The sequence below is a fragment of the Homo sapiens genome, chromosome 11 (genome assembly GCF_000001405.40).
Source record: "Homo sapiens chromosome 11, GRCh38.p14 Primary Assembly".
In the NCBI taxonomy this organism is placed as follows: Eukaryota; Metazoa; Chordata; class Mammalia; order Primates; family Hominidae; genus Homo; species Homo sapiens.
The window spans coordinates 14,379,870-14,390,017 of record NC_000011.10 but is presented as its reverse complement, the minus strand read 5'-3'; the positions used below and the strand labels follow the sequence as shown (position 1 = coordinate 14,390,017).

Below are 10,148 nucleotides of genomic sequence, written 5' to 3'. Positions count from 1 at the left end.
CGCGGTGGTTCACGCCTGTAATCTCAGCACTTTGGGAGACTAAGGCAGGTGGATCACTTGAGGTCAGGAGTTCAAGACCAGCCTGGCCAACATCGTGAACCCCTGTCCCTAACAAAAAAATACAAAAATTAGCTGGGCATGGTGGCAAGCACCTGTAGTCCCAGCTACTCAAGAGGCTGAGGTGGGAGAATTGCTTGAACCTGGGAAGTGGAGGTTGCAGTGTGCTGAGATCATGCCACTGCACTCCATCCTGAGAGACAAAGTGAGACCCTGTCTCAAAAAAAAAAATACACACACACACATATATATATATCTATATATCTATATATAGATATATATAGATATATATATATATATATCTCAATATGTGTCCTACCAGGGCTCTGTGGGTAAGGGCTGCCTGTCCCAGGGCTGCATGTTGGTATCTGTGCCGTGTTGACAGCTTTTCCTGGATCTCCTTCGAGTTACACATCCCTGATCTTACCGAGGTCCATACTCTACTATTTGCTTCTGGTTACAATTATGCCACCAAGAGATGGACAGTGAGTGACTGGCTGGGCAAAGGAAGCTCTGAGTCTGAAGGAAGTAGAGAAGGTGAGGGTACAGCTCCCTGAGAGCCTGGCCTGGGGACAGTGGGACCAGCCCCAAAGGGGATAGGGAAGTTATAGAAGACAGACCCCTGGAATGTAAATGGCTGTCTGCTAGACAGCTTAACTGTGCCTCAAAGTCATTTCCATGAAATTACCACCCCAAGGCACTAATAAGTGATCTGGGAGACAGCCAGTATTTTGCATAATTTCCAGAAAGCCAGTACTAAATGGAGACTAGGATTGATTCCCTTATATTTTCTAAGAATAATAAGGGCATGTGGGTGAATGTGTCATCATAGCAGCAGAGGCTGAGGGACACCTGGTGACCCCCTGTTGAGGAGCCAGCTCAAGGGATCCTCTGGAGTAGCGCACAGGGAGGAGAGAACTCAACTTCTGGGGTTTTGCTTCAAAACTGGCCTATGTCTATAAGTCAGGCAGGACTATGACATCTCCCAGGCCCTGGGCTCCTTCCTTCAGCCTGCAAACATGTCCAAGCTTCATTCTACATTATAAAATTCTCCCTCACCCGCCCCGGTTATCATATCATCTCTCTACTCCCCATCACAGTCAGACTTCTAGAAAGAGTTGTCTACATCTGCTGCCTTTACTGCTCACTTCAATGGTTCTCATCAAAGTCATTAAAGCTGAAGTCAATCCCTGCCTCCCTTGCCCTTCTGTGGTATTTAACACTCTTTGGAAATCTTTGTCCTTTAGCTTCTGTAATACCACCCACTCCTGGTTCTCTTTCTATCTTTCTGATTCGTCTGAGTTCATCTTTTTCACGGAATTCTCATCCACAGCCCATTCCTTAAATGCTGTGCACCCAGGGTTCTCTTCTTGGCACTCTTCCCTTCTTGCTTTGGGTGACCTCATCCATTCCTTTGGCTTTAACCAATCCCTGCCGTGCAGAAAACTCCCAGCTCCATATCCCTTTCCCAAGATTCCAGCCTTTATCTTGTCCTACCACCTGGAAACACCATGGTCTCCAAATTCAATATTTACACAATTGAGCTAATCATCAGCTCCTTCAAATTCGATCCTGTGATGTTCTTCAGTTCAGTTGGTGGCAAGACTTGTAGACAATCTCTGCATCTACTGCCAATGAAAATTTACCATCTCCGATTAGCTCTGTCTTTTCTAATTCCTACCCCAAATTCCCATCATCATTACTTTGGTTCAGGTCTCATAATTTCTCACATGGATTTTGCAACAGTTTGCTAACAGGTTTTCCTGCTTCTCATCTTTGCCTCCCTCTAGTCCATCTTCCATATTACTCTCTAAGTGATCTATCAAAAACAGAAATCTAAGTTGGGTAAGGTGGCTCACACCTGTAAATCCCAGAACTTTGGGAGGCCAAGAACAGAATTGTTTGAACCCAGGAGTTTGAGACCAGCCAGGGCAACCTAGTGAGACATTGTCTCTATAAAACAGACAAACAACCACTAGAAAAGTCTGACTCTATCACCTGGTTGAAAATCCTCTAATGACTCTCCATTTCCCTTAGAAGAAAACACAAATGCTTGATCCTGAATCCACTATGAAGGCATTACCCTGGGCCCTCACTGTGATCAGTGGGACCTGATAGAAAGTCTGCAGGTGGGTAGTTGGGAGAGGTTTTCCTCACTACTAAAAAGCAATGCACAGGAGCAGATGCCTTTCTTCTTTGGAGATGAAATGTCTGCTTGTAACACCTGGAAATGCTTTGACCATCTCTTAATCATGAGGAAAGACACTGCAGACATAACAAGGACAGAAGAGCAGAAAGATAGAAAATGTTTGGGTCCTGCTGCTATCCCTAAGCCACTGAATTAGCAAGCCCCAGAATGGCTCACCTCCAGATTTTCTGGAGCATGAGATATTCACTGTCCTAATTATTTAAGCTGCTTTAGTTAGGTTTCGTGTTACTTGGAGCTGAAAGTACCCTAATTAACACATTTATAGGATATTTCTCTTTAAAATAGAGAAAATACCAAAGATTTTGTAAAGATGAAGTCTTCTATGACTCCCTTAGGAAGAATTAGGTCCAAATCCTCCTATTGTTCACATAGCAATAAGTACCTTCCTTTGTTATGACACTTAGAATGGAATTTTTGTTTTGTTTTTAGGTTTCTCTTAACTTATTACAGCCAATACAGTTAACTGCTACAATGAACAGCCAACTGCATTCCCAAATTCAATCTCCTACTCTTGCAAACACAAACTTCCCCACCCCTCAGAGCCACATCCAGCCTGCTTTAGTCCTTAGGTCAGTGCAAGGAAGATAACAATAGCTAGTCAGCTACATTCTGCGGAGAGCTGGGTGTCACAGCTCCTCTCTGCTGAAATATCTAGTTGTGCCGGGCTTGTCGTCATGGAAACACAGCTGATGCTGTGAGCATGTGGCCTAGAGCCTCTGTCTCTTACATTCCCAGCGAGGGAGAGGAGCTGGTACTTGCTAACAACATGATACAATGTCCTATATTATCTGTTGGGTTTGTTGAATGAAGGGGGAGAACAGATTGCTGTGGAGAGGGCTGAGCTGAAAGCATTGTGAGGAATTAGAATTTAGAGAGCTCTACTCTAGTTCCTTTATGAACTAGAGTAAGGCCTGTGCACCTAAAAATGTGTGCAGATGAACCTGGGGAGGCTTGAGGAGTGGTGAGGAGGAGGTAGGGCAACAAACACGTAATGAATGCTCACTGTGTGCCTGACGCTGTATTTTGTACAATAACAATAACTAGCATTTTTGAAACTTTTAAGTCAAGGTACTTTACATATTTTATTTAATCCATTTAACCATCCCATGGGGTGAATTCTATTATTCTCTCAATTTTTCAGAAAAGGAAACTCAGTACATAATTTTCCAAAGTCATGCGGCCAGGAAGTGATAAGCCCAGGCTTGAACCCAGGGTTGTCTATGTCTAAAATGTCTGCATAAACCTATGCTATACTGTCTCTTTGCTATGATAAGTGCTTTGGATTTATTTTGTTCAGATAAATTATATTGATATTAGACTTCTGTCTTAGTCTGTTCAGGCTGCTATAATAAAATACTATAGACTGAGTGGCTATAAACAGCAGAACTATATTGCTCACAGTTCTGGAGGCTGGGAAGTCTAAGATCAGGGTGCCAGCATGGTTGGGTTCTGGTGAGGGCCAGTTTCCTCACAGTTGGCTGCCCTCTCACTGCAACCTCACATGTGGAAGGGGAGAGGGATCCCTCTGGGGTTTCTTTTATAAGGGCACTAATCCCATTCATAAGGGCTTTGCCATCATGACTTAATCATCTCCCAAAGGCCCCACCTCCCAATACCATCATTACCTCTGGGGTTAGGATTTCAGCATATAAATTTTAAGGGGACACAAACATTCAGATCATAGCAATTTCACACCAAGTTTATAAGATACAGTGTTTGTCTGAAATATCCTTACATATAGTAAGTAGGTGAGAGTCTTTTGAATTGTGAATTGTAATATAGTATAATTCTCATGATAATTCAGTGAGGTAGGAATCATTATTTCCATGTTATAAATGAGGAGTCTTATGCTCAGATTGATTAAGCAAATTGACCAGGGTCACATGGCCGCTGGTTAAAAGGGAACAAAAAACCAATGAGTGCCATTCCAAAGCCTGTGTACCATCTATTCTCCGCTATGCTTTAGGGATAGGCAGGTTGCCTGTCTCTGTCCACTGTGCCTTCAGTTGCCAGTGGGTTGATTCCAAAACCCAATCCTCTCATTGATCAAGGGACCTCCATACCCAACTACTTTCTCAATTTCATAGGCAAACTCGGCATTCTCAGACCAAACCAAATTAAAACACAACCACCACAACTAGAAAACCCAATGTCCCTAAAGTTGAACTAAAGATCACCCTAAAACGTGCTCCCCCCTAGTACCCTGATCTCAGTAAATGGCACCATCATTCACCCTATTTTTCATTCCAGTAATGTTGTAGAACTTTATTCCTTAGTTCAGCTAAACTTGGGTTCTTGCCACAGGACCAAGAAAATTAGGCATGTGGATGCATTGAAGGGCAAGTAAAGCAGAACTTTATTGAACAAAAAGGAAAAAAAGAAAAAAACAACTCAGCAAGTGAGATGGAGTCATGCTAACAGGCCCTCCACTTCACAGATTCATTCCCACCCAGGTCACCACTCAGCTGAAGAGAACAGGCTCCTCCGCTGCCTAGGGCACAAACTTCCTGAGGCTCCACCCCTTTCCCCCAGTGTGCAGGTGGACATTATTCAGAGAGAATCAGCTGGGAAAGGGTGGGCTTCATCTGGGACCAGCAGTCTGGTTTTTCAATCTTCAGGCTTTTTTAGGCTTGAAGCTGGGATTTTGCTGGGGACCCTTGGCTGTCTTCTGTCTCTATCAGTAACGTGAGTGTTGCCTTTAACATGGCCTTCTCCCTTTCTCTTTTCACATGGAATCAGTCATTGAGTCCTGATAGTTTTATGCCTCATTGGTCTAGTCACCCCACTTCCCTAACCCATGTCATTAACATCTCTTGTCTGAATTATTGCAAGAGTCACCTAACAGGCCTCCATGCCTCCACTCTTGCATCCTTCCAATCTGGTCTTCATTGCAGCAGCCTCTTACTATCACCATTTTGCTTAGATGATTTCCTATTACTCTTTGGGGAACATCCAGAATCTTTACCACAGCGTATACATCATGTTACGATCTGTTGTGTGTTCGCATAGCATCCTCTACCTTTCCTTTGTGGCAACTGTCACATTTATGATTAGCCACTTCATTAATCATTTATATGATTATTATGTCTCTACATCAAGGTCTGGGCCCTGTATTCTAGTCCTCACTCTGCCACTCACTGTGCTGCCTTGAGCAAGAAGCAAGATCATTGCTTTTGTGCCAGTCTCTTTTGTAAATCCTGTTTATGTATCTGTGTCCTTAGCTGACCTCTGAGTTCCTTTGGGAAGAACTGGGCTAAAAACCAAGTCTGTCTGACTTCAGAACCTAAATTTCCTAATCTTTTTTTTTTTTTTGAGATGGAGTTTCACTCTGTTGCTGAGGCTGGAGTGCAGTGCCATGATCTTGGCTCAGTGCAACCTCTGCCTCCCGGGTTCAAGTGTTTCTCCTGCCTCAGCCTCCCAAGTAGCTGGGATTACAGGTGCACACCACCACGCCCAGCTAATTTGTGTATTTTTAGTAGACACGGGGTTTCACCATGTTAGCCAGGCTGGTCTCGAACTCCTGACCTCAAGTGATCCGCCCGCCTCCACCTCCCAAAGAGCTGGGATCATAGGTGTGAGCCACTGCACTTGGCCAATTTCCTAATTTTTACAGCAGAACAAGAATTAGGAAAATGTGTAGATGAGGAAACTGAAGCCCAGAGTGGCAAAGAAACTTGCCCAACATCACACAGAGCCAGAGTGAGAACTCTAGCCTTCTGGCTCCTAATCCAGGGCTTGTTCCTTCAGCCCACAGCCTTCCCAATAGCAACACCTGGCAGAGGCTAAGCAGAGCTGAAAAGATTGTTCTTCTGTCTACCTTGAGTGTTGGCAGCATTATTGCTAGACTTTGTGGGGTCTCTGTACTCCACCCTCCCAACCTGAATCTTATTGGTGCTTAGCTCTGATGAGCTCTGCAGGTTATCCTCACTGGTCCAAGGCAGCACTGCTCATCAGCTCTGCAGGGGCCTTTAGGTGAGGAAGACATATCCCTGTTGGGCCCCAGAGGACCCATTTGAGTTTCAGATTATTACCTCATAGTCCTTGACTGCCATAATTTTCTTTGGGATCCATGTAGGCTCTGCTAGCTCATATGGCACCTTAGAGCATATTACAAGCAGGTACCCCTCAGGTGAACAAATTGTGAAAGGCAGCTCCTCTGGGAGCCCAGTTAAAACAGCCTCCTCTCTGCCTGCTGCCTCAGCCTCAGGTAGGAGATCCTGAGTTGCCTCCTCTGCAGGTGTCTTCCTTCAGAGTACAACCCGCCCCACCAGAAGCTGTGGCCTGATAGTAGTTCTGAGCCCTGGAAATTCTACAATTCTTCTGGCTACTTCTCTTTATCCTGTGCAATTTGTCCAAAGCCTATTCAGTACCTACTTGGGAAGATGAGCTCTATATAACTCTGCCTCTTCACCTGCTATCTCACACCAACCTCCTAATCATGGCTCTTCCCCTCCTGGAGTTCATAATCTAAGGAAAGAGACCAGGAGAGAATCCAAGGTGGTTCTGGGGTGCCGCCCAAATTGTATCAACTTACCTTCTCTTAGACTCAGACAGGGGCATATTATTAGGCTCTCATGGGCACAAGCCCTGACTGAGGGGTCAACAGGATGGTGGGAGGTAGGGGGAGTGGAGGGACCTAGGGAGAGGTAGTGTGTAAAGGGAGCCAAAGACATAGGACTGGAGGTTAGGAGGCATCAGCCTGTCCCTCCCATAATGGGTTATCCTGGGCAAGTCTGGTCCTTTTGCTGGGCCTCTGTCTGCTAGTAGAGTCTGCAAAGGGAATTGGCCCTGGTGATATCTAGGATCTCTGTCAGTGTGGACATGCCATGATGGGCTCTGTAAGGGGCTCATCAAACAAGAAGAAGAGAGTTTCCCAAAGTGTGCTATACATAGCCTGCACACATTATGCACTCGGACATCTTACGTGGTGATATTATTTGGATCTGTGTCCCCACCCAAATCTCATTTAGAATTGTAAGCCCCACGTGTTGAGGGAGGGAACTGGTGGGAGGTGATCGGATCATGGGGGTTGTTCCCCCATGCTGTTCTTGTGATAGTGAGTGAGTTCTCATAAGAGCTGATGGTTTTGAAGTATGGCACTTTCCCCCTGCCTCCTCCTGTCACAAATGTGAAGAAGGTCCTTGCTTCCCCTTCCTCTTCTGCCATGATTGTAAATTTCCTGAGGCCTCCCCAGCCATTCGGAATGGTGAGTCAATGAAACCTCTATTCTTTATAACTTACCCAGTCTCCGGTATTCTTTATAACAGTGTGAAAACGGACTAATACACGTGGCATATAAGATGACATTAGGTGGTTAGAGAATGAACATTTTAAATTTAATGGTTATGTATTTCTTAATAAAGTAAATTATATCAGGGAAAATATAGAACAAACACTTAAGGGAGTAATATATATTTTTTATTAGGAAATATTTTTTGTTAGACTGTTTTAAAGAAAAAATATTCGTTAACTAAATGTACATGTGGCATATAAATACAGCAAAACACATGAAGATGGTATGTAAACGACTGATACTTGGGGAATGCGGATTTAGAGAACATCCCATTTTTTCCTGAGGGCACTTGTCTTGCTTAACCTTCTCCTCTGTACTAATCTTTTCTGATAATGAGTACAACATCTGATCGTGGTTCCTTTTACACTTTGACTGCTGTGAAACTCAGAACTCAACTCCAAACCCAGTGTCAGAAATGTTATTGATCTTTATATTGGCAGGTGTGTGCTCTCCTTTGCTTTGGACCTGATTTCCTTCCCAGTTCTAAGCTATCACTGCACTATAGTCTTCCATTTTAAACTGTGGAAAGTGGAAAGTGATGATTTACCAATACACACAAATAACATTCAAAATTAAAGAACTACGAAGTCCTGAAATGTATACATCTAGCGAACAGGGACTGGCATCAGCTTATCCTTCATAATTTGCAAAGCAGTTTTCATTACTCTTATATCATTTGTATCTTCATTAATAAGACTCACGGCTACCTCTTGGGACAAATAGGATCATTATATCCATGTCACAGATAGGGAAGCAGAGGCATGAATGTGACCTGCTCATGGTCACATGGGTTGACAATCAAATCTAGGTCCTCTGACTCCTGTTTTTATATTTCTTTTGCGTCACCGTAATTTGTGTTTTTGTCTTTTTAAAGTAAGACCGATAGCCCCCCTGGGTGGAAATGGAGGGGAGAGCTGCCGCCCCGCGAGGAATGCCAAGGGCTCCTGAGCGCGCAGCACATGATCCCCGCCTGCCTTCGTTCCCCGGGCACTGCTCCGCAGCGGGCGGGGCGGGCGGGCTGCCAGGACGGCCTGGCCAGGGAGCCGCTTCATGATGGCTCCGCTGCAGCGGCACGCGGGCTCCGGCGGTCAACGCAGCGCTGGGCAGGCCCCGGCCGGGGCTAGCTGTTGCGGAGCCGCTCTGCCTGGTTGGCTTGGCTTTTCACAGGCTTACAGCTTCCTAGCTCCTCGAGCACAGCCTGCTAGCACCCCTCGTCAGCGGCGCCAGCGGCACCTGGGTGCCCGCGCGGTGCCCCAGCATGTTCTAGCTCAGTGCCCTTCCGGAGCCACGCATCCGAGCGCGTCGCCCCGGGCCTTCTGGGCAGAGGCTGGGGCGAGCGCTCCGCTAGGGAGAGGGCTGTCTGCTGGCGACCGTCGGCACGCCAGCCTGCCCGTTCTCGGATCGGTCCAACCCATTTCTTTCCTCTGCCCTTCTCTCCTGTCACCTGCGCACTTTGCTCTCAGAGAGAAAGTCTTTCACTTAGTTCTGGTTTCCCCAAGCACCGGGCTGTGGGAGATGTTGGAAATTCTGGCAATAGTTTCCTAGGCACACAGTCAGCGTGATTTTCTTTAAAAAAAAAAAAAAATTAAAAGCGGGAGAGGAAATCTCCTCCTCTCCCCACCTCTTTAATTAGGCAAACAAGGTACTCAAGGTAGGAAAACACGAAAAAAGCAAAATAGTATAAAGGAAAAATACAAACATTTCTTCTAACTACCCCTGCCTCGCAACCCAAGAGCAACTGTTGTTAACATGTTAGTATCTGTCCCTTCAGTATTTTATGCCTGTGATAGCATGCTTTATTCTCTGTACAAAAGAAAGGGTGTCACGTTGTAGTTATTATTTTGTAAGTTTTTTTTTGTTGTTGTTGTATTTTGCTTAGCAGTAAATCATGAACATTTTCTGTACCAACCAATATTCTTTTACAATACGATTTTTTTTGTTTGTTTGTTTGAGACGGAGCCTTGCTCTGTCGCCCAGGCTGGAGTGCACTGGTGTGATCTCGGCTCACTGCAACCTCTGCCTCCCAGGTTCAAGCGACTCTCCTGCCTCAGCCTCCTGAGTTGCTGGGATTACAGGTGCGTGCCATGAAGCCCAGCTAATTTTTGTATTTTTAGGAGAGACGGGTTTTCACCAAGTTGACCAGGCTGGTCTTGAACTCCTAGCCTCAAGTGATCTGCCCGCCTCGGCCTCTCAAAGTGCTAGGATTACAGGCATGTGCTACTGTGCCCAGCCTACAATATGATTTTTTAATGGTTGTGCAGCATCCCATTCTATGGATATATCATAATTTATTTAACCAATACTCTGTTGTTTGACATTTAAGTAGTTTCCATTTTTTTCTACTACAACAATGCTATAATAAGGATTCAAGAATTTACATTTTCATGCCTTATCTCTGATTATATTCTTAAAATAAATTCTTGGAAACCAGTATTGCAAAGTCAGTAATACACACATACTTAAGGCTTTATCCCAGGAGCTCCACAGTGGTTTTAAAACAAAATTGTTATTTAATGTAAAAACAACATTAGAGCAACAATAATGAATTCTTCAAAAGAAATATCCACAAAAATCCTTCTCTAACAAATG

The 10,148-nt window shown here is 44.8% G+C and overlaps 3 annotated features.

Annotated features, from left to right (window-relative positions):
- Nucleotides 8,677-8,896: an enhancer, noted in NCBI's record as "active region_4473". NCBI's record gives its function as "activates an Ori minimal core promoter by ATAC-STARR-seq in GM12878 lymphoblastoid cells {active_cell/tissue: GM12878}" and the evidence as "EXISTENCE:reporter gene assay evidence [ECO:0000049][PMID:35858748]".
- Nucleotides 8,677-9,095: a biological region, named in NCBI's record as "Sharpr-MPRA regulatory region 2156".
- Nucleotides 8,801-9,095: a silencer, noted in NCBI's record as "tiled region #2156; K562 Repressive non-DNase unmatched - State 20:ReprD". NCBI's record gives its function as "represses a minimal TATA promoter and a strong SV40 promoter by Sharpr-MPRA in K562 cells {active_cell/tissue: K562}" and the evidence as "EXISTENCE:reporter gene assay evidence [ECO:0000049][PMID:27701403]".